General features: G+C 39.7%; 1 protein-coding gene across 5 annotated transcripts in view, besides 1 other annotated feature; it reads left to right on the forward strand.

The window, feature by feature from the left end:
* Positions 1-19,129, forward strand: part of FBXL7 (F-box and leucine rich repeat protein 7) — a 439,614-nt gene that overhangs the window by 270,084 nt on the left and 150,401 nt on the right. The window lies entirely within an intron of this gene.
* Positions 16,048-17,247: an enhancer, noted in NCBI's record as "CDK7 strongly-dependent group 2 enhancer chr5:15786420-15787619 (GRCh37/hg19 assembly coordinates)". NCBI's record gives its function as "activates an origin of replication core promoter dependent on BRD2, BRD4, P300/CBP, MED14 and CDK7 cofactors, with strong dependence on CDK7, by STARR-seq in HCT116 cells {active_cell/tissue: HCT116}" and the evidence as "EXISTENCE:reporter gene assay evidence [ECO:0000049][PMID:35650434]".

Here is a 19,129-nt window from a genome sequence, read left to right on the forward strand (position 1 = left end):
GGTGATGGATCATCCTGGTCTCTGATTTTCCACTCGCCCTTGCAGCTGGGGAGGGCCATGTCAGCCAGTTCTTGCCAAGAAGATAAAGTGAGAGGATACAAAAAGTATTTCTAGAAAAACTTTGCTTTCCTGATAAAAGGAACAAATGCATCTGGTGCCTCCCTATCCATCCATTTTTACCCACCTTGAATACAGCTATGGTGAGTGGAATTCTGGCAGCCAACTTACGACCGTGAGGCAGAGCCCAAGAAAGCTGCAGAGATGCCAGTGGCGAGGCAATAAACGAACGAGTAGCTACTACCTCCAGACTTTTTCATATGAGATGAATTTAAACTCTTACTAGTTTAAGTCTATGTTACATCTTTTGTTACTTGAAGCCAAAAACATTTCCTGTTGTTTATCCAAGAATTTTACATGAACCATTTCATATTATTCTTGTAGGTATAATTATCATTGTCCTATTATAGAGATTGGGAGGTTGAGGCTTAAGGAGATTAATTCACTTCCCCACCATCATACAGGAATGAGTGGGTCTGGTGTTGGAATCTAAGCATGCCTGGCTCTAATCCCCTTCCTTTCTCGCTACACCACACAGCCTCTGTTTGATTATTTGTACCCATGATGAGGCAGGCACGATGTTAGATTAGGAAACTTGTGCAGAGTTACCAAACTTGGGGTTATATCAAGACAAGATTCCAGTCTTATTTTTATATAGCTCAGCAAGTTAAACCTTTTAACGGAATTTCCACATCTCCAATGCGCTTTGCTCATCCCATCCTCCTGTTAGAGTTAGAACTAGCTTTCTTCCCTGTTTTGCAGTTAAGCCTTCTCTGCGACAAAAGTTATGTGACCAGCCTAAGGTCACAGAGTCGGTCATTGGTGGACCTGAGAAGGGAAGTCAGCTTTTCAGTACCTTTCAAGTCCCTTCTAATGCACAGCATTTGCTTCTACCTTTTCATCCCTCTTAGCTTTTCCCTCACCATACATCTTATTGACACTTTCACTCTTCACTTCTCTGATAAATGTAGCCTTGCCTGCCTTGAAATGGAAATCAAATGGCTCAAAACAGTGGAAGAACGCAGTTCTGAATATTTTTAGTGGGACTCTAGTTTTCATTGCCTTTTTAGTTAGAAAAATATTATCCAGCACAACTTCATTTGTGATATCACTTTATTCAGTACAAACTTATTAAGTCCGTGGTGCCATAAGTATATGTATAGGAAATCTGAGATATAATCATCAGTACCTTGGAGTTTATATTGAAGCTTGGGAAAGGGAGAGATATCAGAATGTTGTAAATGGGATAACCTCTGGCTGGGAATCAGGAAATCTGAATTCCCGGCCAGCTCTGCTTGTAAAAAAGCTGGGTGCTACTCAATGTAGGTATTACTGAGGTACAGTCTGACATAGTACTATTCAAAAATGTTTGCTACCTCTTTGAACCAGACCTTCCCTGGTTCCAAAACCACAGCTATCTGGACTAATAGAAGGTCAAAGGATTAACAGATTTTTTTTTTTTTTTTTTTTTTGAGACAGAGTTTCGCTCTTATTGCTCAGGCTGGAGTGCGATCTTGGCTCACTGAAACTTCCGCCTGCTGGGTTCAAGCAATTCTCCTGCTTCAGCCTCTCAAGTAGCTGGTATTACAGGCGTGTGCCACCACACCTGGCTAATTTTTATATTTTTTTTAGTAGAGACGAAGATTCACCATGTTAATCAGGCTGGTCTGGAACTCCTGACCTCAAGTGATCCACCCGCCTGGGCCTCCCAAAGTGCTGGAATTACAGGCATGAGCCACCGTGCCCAGAAGGATTAACTGACTTTTAATAAAGTAACTATAAGTGATCTAAAAGCCTCAAATAATGGATCAACTGTGCTCCAAAACAACAGGAATATTATAAGTACACATGCTCTAAACAGCTAAACACCTATCTTACCAGCAACATCCACTTCCTCCTCTGCTCCACTTAATGGTGCAGGGTAGTTCAACCTAAGGGAGATGTCAGGCACAGTTTACAGGTGCTCGCATCCCTCATGTTCCTGGAAACTGAACTGTGGAATACTTGATGTGTCAGCAAGAAAGGTGAAGGCAGCTTATAAGATTTCTGAATCATTGTCCAAATTCAATAAAAATCCTCCTTTCTTGGCTAGAGAAGAGACAAAACCCTCTCTTTCCATGGCATAGAAGACAAATAGTTAAAGTAAAAGGCCTTATGTACTCTCATCACTGAAAGGCACCATTGAAATAGCAAGGCTTTGGAGTCAGAGGTTTTACAGTCAGACCCCCTGGTGCAGCCACAGAAGCTATGTCAACTTGGGCTAGTTACTTAGATCTCTAAGTCTATTAAAATGGAAATAATAATACCCTCTTCATGGTGTGATTGCAAGAATTTTTAAAAAATGGCATATATTATATAGCACAGTGACTGGCCAGGCTCAATAAATGATTGGAATTAGTGGAGGGAAGAGCTAATTTTCACTAATCTTCTGCTCACTCTCCTCAAATATCCTCTATTATATCCCTTTTTATTTCCATATTGTTTGTTTCTACCTATAGCTTGACATACAGTCTTTTAGCTCTTCTTACATTCTGTGAAGACCTTAATAGTGACTCAGAGCTATGAAAATTGTGAGACTTTGTTTTTTTTTTTGAGACAGAGTCTTGCTGTGTCACCCAGACTGGAGTGCAGTACTGAGATTGTGGCTCACTTCAGCTTCAACCTCCTGGGCTCAAGCGATCCTCCCTCCTGAGCCTCCCGAGCAGCTAGAACCACAGGTGCACATCACACCTGGCTAATTTTTTTTAAAAGCTTTTGTAGAGGCAAGGTCTTGCTATGTTGCCAAGGCTGGTTGTTTTAAACTCTGAGGCTCAACTGATCCTCCTGCCTTGGCGTCCCCAAATCCTGGGATCACTGACCTGAGCAAACAAGCCTGGCTGTGACCCTTCTTTTCAAGGTCTACTGTGCCTGACATATAAATAGAAAGGAAAGGCCCAGTTAATGTTTTTTAAGTTAATTTACTTGCATTACACTTATTCAATTCCAAGCAATCTTACTGAGTTGGGCCTCACTTTAAAAATTTATTTTAAAAACATTTTCCTGGCCAGGTGTTGTGGCTCATGCCTTTAATCCCAGCACTTTGGGAGGCCGAGACAGGAGGGTTGCTTTAGCCTAGGAGTTCAAGACCAGCCTGGGCAACATAGCAAAACCCCATCTCTACTAAATTTTTTTTTTTAAGTATCTAGTCATGGTGTTGTGTGCATATGGTCCCAGCTACTCAAGGGAGGCTGAGATGGGAGGATCGCTTGAGCCCAGAAGTTTGAGGCTACAGTGATTCGTGACTGTGCCACTGCACTCCAGCCTGGGTGACAGATCTTGTCTCAAAAAAATTTTTTTTCCAAAACTTAGAGAATTTTTTAATAATGGAAGAAATTATCAGTGGCCTAGATGCAATCTACAGAATTCCATACTGGATTGCTGCTGTTTATAATATCGTAGGGAGGGGGCATATAAATGAAGTGTGTGGTTGATATGGTTCTATGTAAACTACTCTACTTGGAACAGGGGGATGAGTGAAAGGAGAATATATTCACTGGATGCCCCGGTCAACTTAAGCAAATGAATAGAAGAAAGGAAAGATCTGGAGAGCATAAATGTTCACTGTGGTTCCATGTTCTTAGATTCCCTTTCCTTCTTTTGCACATGGATCCTATTTACATATATTTTATTACATTTTTTATTACTGCTGTAGCAAATTACCACAAATTTAATGACAAAAAAAAACCCCACAAGCCTCTTTTTTTACAGATCTGGAGGTCAGAAGTCTAAATCAAGGTGTCAGCAGGACTGTTCTCCTCCTGAGGCTTTGAGAGCAGAATCTGTTTCTTTGATTTTTTTTTCAGCTTCCAGAGGCTACCTGTATTCCTTTCCTATGATCCTTTTCTCACCTTGTCATTCAAACTTCTACTACTGACTGACCCTCTTCCTCCCCTCTAACAAATACTTTTGTGATTACATTGGGTCTACCGGGATAATCCAAAATAACTTTCTCCTCTCAATACTCTTAACTTGATCTACACGTTCCATTTTACCAGGGGAAGAAGCATATTCCCAAGTTTCAGGAATTCAGACATAGACATCTTTGGTGGAGGGTGGGGGGGCTACCATATATATTGATGTAGATATGGTTTTATGTTTTAGATTGTACTGCCTCCCTATGAGTTTCTGTTTTCCTGGCTATGGCCTTGGTCCTCAGAATCTGTTCCCATCTTTGAGAATCCCACCTTTGAGAGTGGCATATTCCCACCATAATATGGACTCCAGATTTCTGTCCTGTCCTGATAAATTGGTCAGTCCATTGTTTTGCTAAGGGTGTGCCACTTTAATGAAACCATATTAACCTGATTGAAGAAGAATCTTGATATAAGCTTAAAATTAAAACAATAATAGTTTAATAATGGCACAAACTAATTTCAAAGTAGTTAGAGCGACAGTTTTTCCTTGCCTTTTCTGATTCTCACTCTTGAATTTGGAGGTGAAAGTGGGTGCATCTTTGGTTGTTGTCCGTGGTCCTGAACTATCCCAGATACTAAGGTTGTTTCTCTTGACCCCTGAGACACCAGGAACTGCTGTTCAGTTTCTCTGTCTTGTTTAGAAATTCCAAAGTAGGTGAGAAAAGTAGATAAGTCTGTGAACAGAGCTTAGTGCCTGAGCATTAAATGGATACAGACTGTTGGAAAGGCATAGCCCTTGACAGATCACCAGGTAGAAAACAGAAAACATTTCTGACATGATTTTTAAATAATTGAAACTGTAAAAACATTTCACAGTTTACCATGTTGTAAACATCAAACAGCTAAGCAGCATAGGAAATGTGTGCATTGAACAGTGCAAAGGATGTGCAACCAAAACACAAGCATTGAGCAAGAAAGATAGGGAAGATGTAGTAATAAAAGGATCATTATTAGTTGAATAGCAGAAAAACATTTAGAGTTGGGTTTTTTGTTATTTGCTGGAAAATACTACCTAATGTAATTTATTACTGTATTTTTATGTCATACATTTTTGACAGTTCTGTCATGTTTTTGGAAGTTAGTGTCACTGTCTACTCCTACCCCACCATATACACACACACACACACACAAATACCATCACCACACATCATGGGAAGCTGGTGGGGAATATGCCATTTCATTAATTTCTCCCCAAGCTTCATCCCACCCCATGAAACACAGACCATACTTTTGATACCTGCCCATATCTTTAGTATTTATTATGCATTAGCTCTTCATTTTCTAAGGGATGGAATGGAATGGGAATTAGGAATGGATTTGGGGTATCAGATGTCAGTGATTTACATAATCATGTAGGAAAAACTACAGATTTCACCAAAACCAGTGATTACACATTATTGTTTCAGCTAATTCAGAATTTCAATGAGGCATGAGAATGGAATATGGGCCAGGAATGTCTGCTGCACATATTTTTGATAATTAAAAACGAGGATAGCAGTCTTTTTACATGTTGATAAGGTTAATCAAGGCAACGTCATTGCAGTTGTCAAAAAATCCTGATTATTCTCCTGCACTCCATTCATTGTGAATCTTTGCTTTGAACACAGGGGAGCTTCTGGACCTACAGGTACAACTATAATCTGATTATGTGTTTTTCTACTTGAAGAGACTACGTTTTTAACTAGTAAGGCTTAAGACAGATTTCAGTTTTTATTAATTCTCAAGATTAAGAACAGATAGCGGCAACATGTCATGAGTTTCATTAATGCAAAATGGGAACCAAAGTTTTGTTCTTATTTTTAAAAATAATAGTGATAATAATAATATAACTAGGCAGTAAATAAATAAAAAATCTGAATCCAGAGCCCTTTGTTAAGTAAAACATAACAGAAAGAAATCAGGGTAGATGCCGGCCAACATTCGGATTAATAAAGTGTGAACGTACCACTCTTGCATGCAGATTAGCAAGAATTAGCAATCATATAGATGAGTATAGTAAGTTTTAACCTATTTGCTGTTACCCTCCCAAATCCTATTTTGCTCAGGGCACACCTCCATTTTACAACTAGTTAATAAAGAATACTATAATTTAAAGTTCATGTTTCTATGGTAACAACCAATTATAAATGCAATCTGAAGAGATGGAAGGAAGCTGCCAAAACTCTTAAGGAAAAAAAACATGATCTGGGTTGGCAACCCACAAGAAATGTTGCTTGATAAGGGCTTTTGCCAGCTTCCCCTAGCATTGGCCTGCAAGTTTATATCTGAACAAACATCTTGCACCCATTTTCTAAGCACTGCATCTGTAATACATTCTAAAAGGATAATTGTGTCTGGGGCTCAACATATGTGATGGTGAGGCAGGAAAAAATTCGCACTTTTTTTGGTATAATTTCTCGCATATGTTTCTTATAACTTCATGGCACTAACATCAACACTAGAGAGAGAAAAGAACCTTAAGTGGGCTAGCTTTTTTCAGAAGCATATTCCTAAGTTTTACCTTAAATATTCTTATGTTCATTGTTTATACATAACAATGGATAATGGTAACATTTATGGAGATAATAATTATAGAACTTAAATAAAATGTTAGCCATCAATTGGGAGTTTTAATGTTTAACATATGTATACCTGATTACATATATATCTTAATATAACACTGTGATTACATATGTATCTTAATATCTTCTTCTTAATCACTCTGTATATGATTGTGCTTTGTTTTCAGGAAGCTCAATATGCACACATAAGGCATTTCCAAAATAGATGAATTAAATTGAAGATAATTCATGTTAAAATATATTTCACATTCATTATTCCATGCATCTTATTAACAACCTAGGGAGAGAGGATGTTTTCATTTCCATTTTACATATAAAGAAACTGAGAAATGGAAAAGTTAAGGACTTACTGAAAGTCACACATTGTTAGTAGTGGAACTAGGGGCAAACCCCCACCTTGGACCTCTAGATCCAGCATTGTTTTCACTCTACAATATGACTCCTCCACTAGCTCAAAATTAAATACACCTGGATATCAAGCTTTATTATATCAAATAATGTAGCATTTGAATCTTAACTCCAAAAAGTGTTTATGCTTGAAACTAACCAATTGGTAATATATGGATAACGTATTCCCTATCATCTACCTGTGTCTTTCTCTTAGTTGTAGTTAAGTGACTGGAAGGCAAAAGAGTGAAATTGACAATGATGGAAATCACATTTAATTAGCATGAAATGGTAAGCAGCTGCTATGTTCAAATCTTCCTGTTATGAGATTGTCAGACTTATAAAATATTATCCACATGGCGCAGTTTTGAACAGTGAAAGAGAAGTTGAATCAAAATTTAAAAGCTCAGTGCATAGAAATTTTGGGTCCTAGGAGACACACAAGAATTTCCCTTTTAAGGAAATTGGCTACGTATTGTTTGCAAACCCCTATTCTGGTAAAAAAAAAAAAAAAAAAAAAAAAAAGTAAATTCCAGTTCCAAGGTTGAATAACTTTTTTCTTAGATTAGAATGGTACTCATTTGAGCAAAAAGCACTACTATTACATGTGATCTAGGACAATACTAATTTATCTTCTCTCTGGCCATATTGAGGAAAGTGGAAAACAAATCACACAGTCCCACTCTCCACATGAACGCCAGCAATCAGCTAAACATAATAAACCTGCAAGAGAATATTTTTATATTATCAAATTTGTTTATTTCCCAAAATATGTATTTTGGAAAAAGGTATGTATTTTGGTTACCTATATTCAAAATTAGTCAGAATTCATAAGAGCTATCAACAAATAACTTAAGCACATTTCCTCTATTTTATACCTCATTAATGGGAAGACATCATGGTATAAAGTAAATTCGTGGGTATCTAAGATGCTCAGAAAATGTATACTTTCTCTATAATAAGGTATCATCAAAGGCTGTTTCTACTTAAAGTCCTGTTGCATTTTGAACTCCCCCTTTCAAATATTTTTCACTTTCTTTAAATCCCCAACTTTGTTCCTATCTAAAGATATGACTCCATCTCTTATTTTACTGAGAGAATGGACTCCATCCTTTCTATCTCAAATTTCCTGCTCCTCAACATCTCTGGCTTGGGGCCTTCGTTCTCTTCATTTGTGGTACCATAGTTCTCAACGCTGGGTGCACAATTAAATAAAAACCTGGAGAGCTTTGAAAACAAATACTGTTGCCTAGGCACCCTCTAGACTAATTAGTTAAGAATATGGTTTGAGGACCACTGACCTGATCTTTTCCCCTAAAAGAAATCCAGTTATTCACCTGTGGTCAAGGTCCTAAGTGAGAAGGCATTGATTCACCACTCTTTCTCATCTCCATCGTTTTTCTTTTCCACTTTTTCTCATGCTACCAAGCAGCTCATTTCATCACATCCTCAAAAATCAGTCCAAGAAGGATCTTTAAAGGGAGAGAGAATCCCCCTTCATAGAACACAGGTAGTTGCCGATGCTCCCGCTAGCTTTCTTATCCAGTTGCAATGGCTTAACAAAGCCATACTTCCAGAAGCCAAATAAAACCAAAGATACATTAGCTGGAAATAAAAAATGATCATGAAATTGATCATGAAAGGATAATCTTGCTAGGGATAATGTGTTTAATAGCAGAGCACCTTCTCTCAAGATAAAAAACGTGGTTTCTTACTACATTTATGTGATAGGAGATTCACTGTAAGAAATTATCTTTAGTCAACTTTGTTGCTTTTCTCTTAGCTAGTGAATAAAAACCTTATTTACTGATAATTGTCATTACAGTAGATGACATATACGCTTAGGATGGGTATTTCATCTTGAGCAGAGTAGACAAGCCATGCCATTAAACATGTAAAAGAGTGGCTTTAAAAAAAGTGGATCTCATGGAGTTGGAGAGTTTCAGAATGGTGGTTACCAGAGGCTGGGAAGGGAGGTGAGGAAGGAGGGATGAAGGTAAGTTAGTTAAGGAGCACAAAAATAGTTAGATAGAAGGAAAAAGTTCTAGTACTTAATAGGACAGTAGAAAATTTATAGTTAAATATAATTTATTATATATTTCAAGGTAGCTAGAATAAGAATTGTAATGTTCCAAAGATAAAGAAAATGTTTGAAGTAATGACTATTCCAGTTACCCTAATTTGATCATTACATATTGTATACATGTATTGAAATATCACATGTACCCCAAAATATGTACAACTAGAGTACATAAATGAAATTTTTTAAAAAGCTATCAAAAAAAGAAATGGAAAAGAGTGACTTAGCAGCAGTTATTATCTTGTCTCCAAGAGGTGACTTTTCAGAGTTGTGGTTCGGTTCACAGTCATTGGTTTCCATGCCTTTCCGAGTTCTAAGGAAAATCAGCCGTGGCCCATTAAAAAACCCTTCATATCACTTTGATAAAATTTTACATGGATTAAAATAATTTTGAGCATATTTTTAGGCAGTTTAAAGTCTTTTAGATACAGTCAGCAAATTAATGGCAATATAGTAAGTTTTTGATTTATAGCTTTGGCCTAAAAGTCGTCATGGAAAATCTATTCTGTGGCAGAACTCAATGAGCACTTTATTTCAAAAAGCAATTTCATTTTGAAGATAGAACCACTTACTCTTGGAATACTTGTTTTTCAGCAAAGATTTCTGAAATTTCCGTTTATCACTCTGCTCTCTCCAAACCTAATCACCTTTACCTCATTCCAGATGTCCGACTTGTGTTTGTCAAAAATGGATTTGAAAACTAATTGCCACATCATGTGGGTATTGAATATGTTAAGTGATTTCTCTTTGGCCAGTCCTCCTTTGAAACATGGAGGGGCAAAGGAAGTCTGAGTCTACAAAGGGAGCTGAAGGGGAAGGGCAGTAACTGGATCACAGTTTGCACGGCTGTGTCTATATATTTTTTTCACTAAGAAAAGAGCAAGATTAGTGGTAAATATCCAGTATATAATCATTCATTTGAAGTAAAGGGCTAAAAGTTGCCTATGGCAGCTTGTTTACATTTAGTGAACTGAAGGAAACCATATTTGTGTTACTGGAAGGAACCCCAGGTAGCACCCAGAAAAAAGAAAAGCAAACCAAAAAACCCCACTATACATATATATTTTTTTACTTTGCAAGCTGATCAAACTCCACCAAGTCAGAATATGTCATAATTTGAATTGGAATTGCCCAAAGATTACTGACTGTATTTTGGGAGGTGGGAAAAAACAGAAAACAATTTGTTAGGTAAATTTGACCCATAAACCAATTTCAAGGCTATTAAGAATTAGGAATGGATTTTAGTGGCTTGACACAGCCATATTGTTTAGTCAACAGGCACTTCTAAGATATGAGCTCAGGGAGTCCTGTGTGCTTGTCAAAGCAAGTGGAGTAAAGGTTCTGGGAACCTCTGGGAATGGTTGGAATTCTCTACAGAAAATTAAGATGATGTTTAAATTCAGCCTTTTCAAAAACTTTACCCTTTACTCAACCTAAATTAATGCAGTTTTACTATTCTGAAGAATTAAGTACAGAAATGTGTGACCTGAGAGTTAGCATGCAAATAAACAAACCAGAGCAGGCATTGAGTCAGATATTTGGCCACCACCAAAAGCTGGGTTTGCCTTTGCTGTGCCACACCACACAGCCAGGAAAATTCTGTTCTTTCTGGTGCAGAAGGCTCTAAAGAGGAGGAGAACTCTGATTCCATTTATCTTGATATTCTAATTGTAAAGTTTGTGATCTCATTATCACTGCCTTAAACTTCTTGGCCAGTCGCTATTTCTAAGATATGCTGTGGATGCAGTTGTGACAGTGATTCCCAAGGCCCTCTGCTATCATCTCTCTTCCCGGTACCACAATGGTCCCGTTTGAGGAAGAAGACAGAGGACATGAGGATGGATTTGTCCAATAGAAATTGGAACTTAGAGTTTACTTGTCATGCTTGAATATGTTAAGGGAGGTTTTACTGCTCTAAAGGATAAATAGAAAAATAATTGGAAAATTGAAGCAAGTGATAACGAGAGAGAAATTTTTAAAACGTTCAAAAAGTAAGAAGCAGTCATGGTACACCACAGTTTTATTTATGAGTAAGACTTGCATGCCATTGGATGTTAGTTTAACCATCCCCACCCCCAAGAAAAAAAGGTCTAAGTACATTGGGAGGATGGGGAAAGGAGAAATTGTGTGAGTGTGTGTGTGTGTGTGCGCGCGCGTGTGTGTGTGTGTTGAGTGTGTAGTATAAGAGTAAAATAGTATATTCAGTAGTAAGAAGCCAGTGTCAGTGCCTGATATTGAGAAATAGAGAAGTACTTTCTGAGCATGTTCTTTAGAGGTGAATCTGGAGATTTCTTTAGAAGAGTTTCAAGTGGCTGCCTCTGGGGAGAAAAGGGAGCATTCAAGCTTTTAAAGTATTTGCACCATAGTTTGATTTTTTTAATAAAAAGTACTTTAAATGTAAATGAGAAACCAGGAAGTGGAAGCAATATGCATAGCTAGACCTCTCTTGATAAGTATTGCTATAAAGGAGAGTGTAAAACTGGGGCAGATGTTGAAGAGAGCTGAGGAGTTGAGAGAAGACCTTTTCAACTTTTTTAAAAAATATATACTTTAAGTTCTGGGATACATGTGCAGAACGTGCAGGTTTTTTACATAGATATACATGTGCCATGGTGGTTTGCTGCACCTATCAACCCGTCATCTACATTAGGTATTTCTCGTAATGCTATTCCTCCCCTTGCCACCCACCCACTGACAGGCCCCTGGTGTATGATGTTCCCCTTCCTGTGCCCGTATGTTCTCTTTGTTAAACTCCCACTTATTAGTGAAAACATGCAGTGTTTGGTTTTCTGCTCCTTTGTTAGTTTGCTGAGAATGAGGGTTTCCAGCTTCATCCATGTCCCTGCAAAGGACATGAACCTATTTTTTATGGCTGCATAGTATTCCATGGTGTGTATGTGCCACATTTTCTTTATCAAGTCTAACATTGATAGGCATTTGGTTTTTTCCAAGTCTTTGCTATTGTGAATAGTGCTGCAATAAACATGTGTGTGCATGTGTCTTTAGAGTAGAATGATTTATAATCCTTTGGGTATATACCCAGTAATGAGATTGCTGGGCCAAATGGTATTTCTAGTTCCAGATCCTTGAGGAATTGCCACAGTGTCTTCCACAATGGTTGAATTAATTTACACTCCCACCAACAGTGTAAAATTGTTCCTATTTCTCCACATCCTCTCCAGCATCTCGTTTCCTGACTTTTTAACAATCGCCATTCTAACTGGTGTGAGATGGTATCTCATTGTGGTTTTGATTTGCACTTCTCTAATGACCAGTGATGATGAGCCTTTTTTCATATGTTTGTTGTTTTCTTAAGTGAGGAGCTTAAAGATGGTGTTTCTTGGTGACAGGAAGGAAGAGTGTAAGTGGAGCTATTGATAACGCAGGAGTGACAGAGAAAGATCTAAGGAGCAACCTTTTTGAGACAGTAAGGAGGGATGAAATCCACAGCCCAAGTGAAGGCATTTTCTTGTGAAAAGTTGAGGAATATTTTCTCCATTTTAATAGCCGAGGTTGGGATTGTGGGGGTGGCCAAAGGGTGGGAGATGTTTGAGGAGAAAGGGCACAAATAGTGGAAAAGTAAATCTAGGAAATGAATTTTCCTAAATTTATTTAGTAGAATGGCCAGGCCATTTGAGACTTTATTTGACAGTTGCAATAATAAATATAAAGTGACACCAAACAGCTGTGTGATTTTCTCCAGCAACACCAACTGGCCAATGTGCAAGCAGAGAGCGGGTAGGAAGTTGGAGCTATGAAATTTGGGGGTTTGACAGGTGAACCCACAGCAGAAGAGAGAAGCAACGAAGTTGAAGATTTTTGCATGAGAACGACTGTGATGGTGGGCGTGGAAGGTAGGTTGGAAAAAGAGGAACTGAACACGGGTGGTGGAGAAATAGTGAGAAAGTGGCAGGGTGAAGACCTGAGAATGTCAGCAGCAATGAAGAATGGGAACCATGGCACTGTCATAATTTCCGGCAAGTGCACTGGGCAGCTAGGAGGGGAGGCAGGGACCTGCATGGTGCAGTTCCTGGAAATGAGAAGGTCCTGGGTGTGACACTGAGACGAGATGCCTAAGGCAGAGTGGAAAAAAGGGCTGTCGAAGGTGACATCAAGGTCAGGACACTGGATATTGACATGTTAGAGAATGATCATTGTAAGCCACCCATGAATGAGATAACCAACATGACAGCAATGAGGAGGAGAGAGGGTGATATAAATGGTGCATCAGAGCCTCAAAGGAGTAAGACACTGCAAAAACAAGGAGAATAGGAGGTCAGAAGGAGTAGCAAGAAAACCAAGGAGGGTACCTATCAAACCCCAAGCCCTGAGGTTCAGGGGATACCCAAGAAAATACATTGCTCCTGGAGAGGGCTGTAGAGGAATGAGTGTGCTCAGAGGACAGGTCTCAGTTAAGGTGTAGAGGTGAAGGGAGCATTCAGAGAAATAGTTAGGGAAGTAAGGATGGGTGCTGGATTATTGATATTATTGATTGAGAGCACCAGAAAGCATAATGGGAAGGCTTAGAGAGGAAAAGAATGGAGTTTTGGATCAGGATGTAGATGTATGGGAATGGGAATGAGGGCTCTCACAGATCTCACAGGAAACTTGCACTTTTGGCAATGGGCCAGGTAAACATGGATGTGGGGCATGATGAATGACTTCTGAGAGTTTCCTATCAGCAGGTGAGCACTCAGGTCTAGCATGGTGGCCCCAATGAGTGAGCTTGGTGATGTGGCAGTGACTGTTTCCCTGGCAGCCTATGTTGCAGTAGTTCTGGGTGGCCACATTCTCTGTCTCTCACAGTAGTTATTACCATTGCTTTGGTCAAGATTATCTTAAAGAGTATAGTAGTGTAGTGCTTCATGAACATGAGAGGAAGGGCTATCACAACTCTTGTTGGTCACCTGGGGCAAGTCAGGCAACTCTGTGAGTATCAGATTCCCCATTAGACAAAAAAAAATTAGCCCTGTAGGTCCTCTTCAGGTTTGAATTTTTGTTATTATGACGTTAAATATATGCTGTTAGGTTTGTAGCATTTTTAAGTGAAGGATTTGGGCCCATATTACATGGAGATGTTTACTGAAATTGGATTTATAAAGAAGCACATTTGCTGAACTTCCATTTTTGACAGATGTATTATGTTGAAATTAATAATTTAGAGAATATGTAAGAATATTGATATGGTTTGGATATTTGTCCTGCCCAAATCTCACGTTGAAATGTAATCCCCAGTGTTAGAGATGAGGCCTGGTGGGAGGTGGGTCGGGGGGCGGGGATCCCTCATGGCTTGATGCTGTCACTTCATGAGACAGGGGTTGAGTTCTCAAGAGATCCCATTGCTTAAAAGTGTGTGGCATCTCCCCACCCCCCTGCTCCTGCTCTCACCATGTAACATGCCAGATCCTGCTTCACCTTCTGCTGTGTGTAAAAGCTCCCTGAGGCCTCCTAGAAGCCGAGCAGATGCTGGCACCATGCTTGTACAGCCTGCAGAACCATGAGCCAATTAAACCTCTTCTTTATAAATGACCCAGTCTCAGATATTTCTTTATAGCAGTGCAATAACAACCTAGCACACACACGCACAAACACAAAATTAGCTTCTATTTCACTAGCACAAGATTCTACGTGTGTGTATGTGTTCATATGTCACTGCCATCATTTTTAAAGGTATTCCTTTTCTTTTGTGTCTCCATTCATCTGAGGGTTGGGTGTAGCTATCATGAATCAGGTCTATACTGCAGCCTAGGGCATGATGAGCCAAACTTCTGTCTAACTAGCACGAGACTCTGTGCAGTTATCAGAATTTCAGAAAAACAGCTTATGATTACAAGGTTAAAAAGAATCACTGCTTGGCCTTCATAACTTCCCATTGCCACATGTATACATACATTGCGTGCTCTGCATCGCTCTGACCAAACGGCTGTCGAGGCAACACAGGAAGCGAGTGAAGCTGGGAGTGATCTCCTGCAGCAGGTCTTCAGAAGACCTATTTTCTCTTGTAGAGGTTTCAGGGGCACTTGGTTAATGTGACCATGATACACATTCACGTGTGCACACCTACACACAGTCACACACACCCCACTGTGGACATCTCACAATATAGGACAGGCTTTCAGCAACAACTGGGTCACCTTTGCACCCAGTTGGTGGTTATAAACTCAGACAAGATACTTTGAAGTGTTTTATACACGGAAGAAGAGGGCAATAGTAGGAGAATAGTGCCTTCGCCCTTTCTGTGCTTTCAAGCATGTAAGCCAATCACCTCCCTCCTCCATCCCCAATTAAAGGAAAAAAATTAGCCCCATACATGGATGCTTGAATTCTCTTAATATTAAAAGTCACATGTGTGATGTAAATAAGATGAAAAGCAGTGTGGATTACCCCATTAGAAACGGAGATGAACTAGCAGCTGGTTGCATGAACGTATCAAAGAGCCTACTGTCCCAGTGATAATTCTTGGACAAAGCAGTTAGGACATTTTCCATCAAATCCTTTTAAGCCCCCTCGCAGTTCAGTTGCATCTGGCACGCATTGTGCCTGTTGTCTGCTATAACTTTGCAACACAGTGAAATCCCCGGCTTTGACTGCAGCAGCATGTGGCTCTGAGTGGCATCTGTAAAGCAATGGCACTTCTTAATTTTCATAATAAACAGAAAATACTTTATGAACAGTATTCAAATTGGAATGGCTCCATTTATCTAATTGGGCTAGACTGTCATCATAAAGTGAGTCCTTGAGCAGAAAAAAGCAACACACAAAAATGGCTTCTGCTGGTGACCTAATTTTCTAAATCATTTTTTCTGCTAGTGCAAGTGCTACTAAATATATTGGGTCATCACAAGTTCCACACTCCAGGATAGGCGTTTCTACCGGTGGGTGAATTCTCAGTAATCATTGTACTGTTTTGAAATTAAAATTAGATGGCATTAGAGAGCGTTGGTGAGGGGGGTGTTTCCTCCTTCCCTCCCTCCCTCCCTTCTTTCATTCCTCCACAGAACAAAATAAAAGTGAAATATAGAACTTGCCATGATTGGGAAACCAGTAGGTAGAACTGGAATTCAACCTAGGTCTACCACTGCCTGGATTTCACTTAAGAAATTTTAGAGTATCATTGTTCATTATATTTTTTGATGTTTTCTACTTCTTTCATTGCCTGTTTCCTGGCAGAAATGTCCTGAGAGTATTCAAAACCCTGTCAGTCCTTGATATACTTGCAGTGCCAACTGCCTGTTCTTTTCTGGGAGGCTCATTCAATGTAGAATAAAGTAAATTGGCAGAAATGTAATAGTACACCAGGGAGGGATTGTGGTTTAACATGAGTTTGATATAGTTAGTAAAAAGTGAATTAGAATAGTTTGTAGATACTTTTAAACCTGTGCTCAAAGGTATTATTTGATTAAATTTAATAAAAAAATTAATTACTTAGTATGTATAATACGTAATGGACTTACAGGTACGGGTGGATGCAAAGATGGGTGTAATGAGTGAACGACGCCTCTTCCTTCCAAAGTCATGTCCATAGTCTCATCACCAGAATCCATGACTGTGACCTGATTTGCAAAAAGATTATTTACAGATGAAATTAAATAAAGGATCTCAAAATGAGATCATCTTGGATTATCCAAGTGGGCCCTAAATCCAGTGATGTGTGTCCTTATGAGACCCACACAGAGGAGAAACACATGGAAGAGAAATCTATGTGAAGACAGAGGCAGAGATCAGAGTGATGCAGCCACAAATCAAGGAACAGCTGGGGCCACCAGCAGCTGGAAGAGGCCAGGATGGATTCTTCCCTAGAGCCTTCCCAGGGAGTGCCGCCCCACCTTGACTCCAGACTTCCGGCCCCCGGAAACTGTGAGAGAGTACATTTCTGTTGTTTTTAAGGCACCAAGCTCGATATAATTTGTTATGGCAGCCCTAGAAAATTAACAAAGTAAGTAAAATCAGTCGGCATTGAAGAGCTTGTAATATATGATATGTGACAAACTGCACATGCTGAAGTGAAAGTATTAAAAATATAGACGTGAAGGGGAATTAATTTCAAACAGAGCTGCCTGGAAAGGTCTTTTAAGGAGGTATGCCTTGATCAGGGCTTTAAAGAAGATGAAGGCAAGCCGTGCAGAGATGGGCCAGGAGGAGATTTCAGGGAGGTCAGCAGAGCCATGACAGAGGAGGATTCAGGGATACTATTGGAGTGAATCTAGTTCTGAGAAAGGAGAAGGTAAGATCAAAACAAAGTCTAATATCACAAGAAGTTTGATTGTGGTCAGAAATACAGAGAGCCTGAATTCAGTCAAATAGAGAGGTACTCTGTTGTTAGCTTTAAATTATGGAGAAACCTACTCTTTCCATCTTCCTCCATCTAAAATTACATTTAAGAGATGGGTTCCTGAGGAATTACTGCAAGGAAAGAAATTAAATTTAGAGAGGAAAGAAATAATTTCAGGGATGTTCTGAAAACTCTATAATGCCTTGGACATGCCCTGGTTTGTAGTATTTAACATGTGGTCGTTTCTATTTATGTGACTGTCTTCATTAAATGCATCCTGTCTTAATTTCCTAGGGCTGTCACAACATATTACCAGCAACTGGGTGACTTACCATGATAGAAATGTATTTCTCACAGTTCTAGAGGCTGGAGGTCTGAACTAAAAATGTCAACAGTGCTGTGCTCCCTTTGAATGCTCTAGAGGAGATCTCTGCTGCTTCCTGGCTTCTGGTGGCTCCTGGCAATTTATGGCGTTCCTTGACTTGCAGACCCTTACTCCAATCTCTGTCTCTGTCTGCACATGGCCTTCTTCCCGGTGTGTCTCTGTGTCCTCTCCTCTTCTTCTTAGAACACCTTTTATTGGATGGAGGGCCCAACGCAATGGAGTATGTCCTCATCTCAAGCTAACTAATTATATCTGCAAAGATTCTGTTTCCAAAGAAGGTCGCATCCTGAGGCTCTGGGTGGACATGAATTTTGGGGGAGCACTATTCAACCCACCACTTAGCCGGTTTATGTTTTAACCCATAGAGCCTAGCCTGGAATTTGACATAAAATTGTAACCTCTCAATTTTTGCTGAATACAGAAGTGGATCTGCAGTGCCCATGAATGATGTGGCATTGCTAAAAAATAAAACATGGGAGAGAAAACAACGGAAGAAAAGGGAATTGGGAAAGAGAAAAGAAGCATCTCAAATTTTGCTGGGAGATATAAATCCAAAGTTTGTGTCAGGGCCTATAAGGGCTTATTAGATTTGGTCTCAGCCTGCCTCCACCTCCTTGAACCTTAACCTTCTTCCAGCTTCTGTAGGTCCTATGCCCTTTGCTGGAAACATCACTCTCCCCATTCTGTACGTCACTCACTCCAACATTCTTCAGCTCCTGGCTTCAAGGGCACCTCTTTTTTTTTTTCTTTGACGGAGTCTCGCTCTGTCACCAGACTGGCAACAGATCTTGGCTCACTGCAAACTCTGCCTCCTGGCTTCAAATGATTCTCCTGCCTCAGCCTCCCAAGTAGCTGGGACTACAGGCATGCACCACCACACCCAGCTAAGTTTTGTATTTTTTTTTTTTTTTTTGAAGGAGTCTTGCTCTGTCGCCCAGCTGGAGTACAGTGGTGTGATCTCGGCTCACTGCAAGCTCCGCCTCCCGGGTTCATGCCATTCTCCTGCCTCAGCCTCCAGAGTATCTGGGACTACAGGTGCCCGCCACCGCGCCCAGCTAATTTTTTGTATTTTTAATAGAGGCGGGATTTCACGGTGTTGGCCAGGGTTGTCTCTATCTCCTGACCTCGTGAACCACCCACCTTGGCCTCCCAAAGTGCTGGGATTACAAGAATGAGCCACCATGCCCAGCCAATGGCACCTCTTTAAAAAGGTGACATCTCTGCCAGTGCTCTACAAGACCTCATATCTTTTTTTTTGTTGTTGTTAGCAGCCATCAGAGTTTGGAATAATGTTTTTAATAATATAGTCATTTTTATGTCTCACCCTCTGCCAGACCAGCAGTTACGTGAAGATATGCTCACTGCAGTCTTTCCAGCCAGGGTGTTTGATAGGTCCTTCCGAATAACAGACTTTCAGATAGTTTAAGACTATTA

This window comes from Homo sapiens, chromosome 5 (assembly GCF_000001405.40).
Source record: "Homo sapiens chromosome 5, GRCh38.p14 Primary Assembly".
In the NCBI taxonomy this organism is placed as follows: Eukaryota; Metazoa; Chordata; class Mammalia; order Primates; family Hominidae; genus Homo; species Homo sapiens.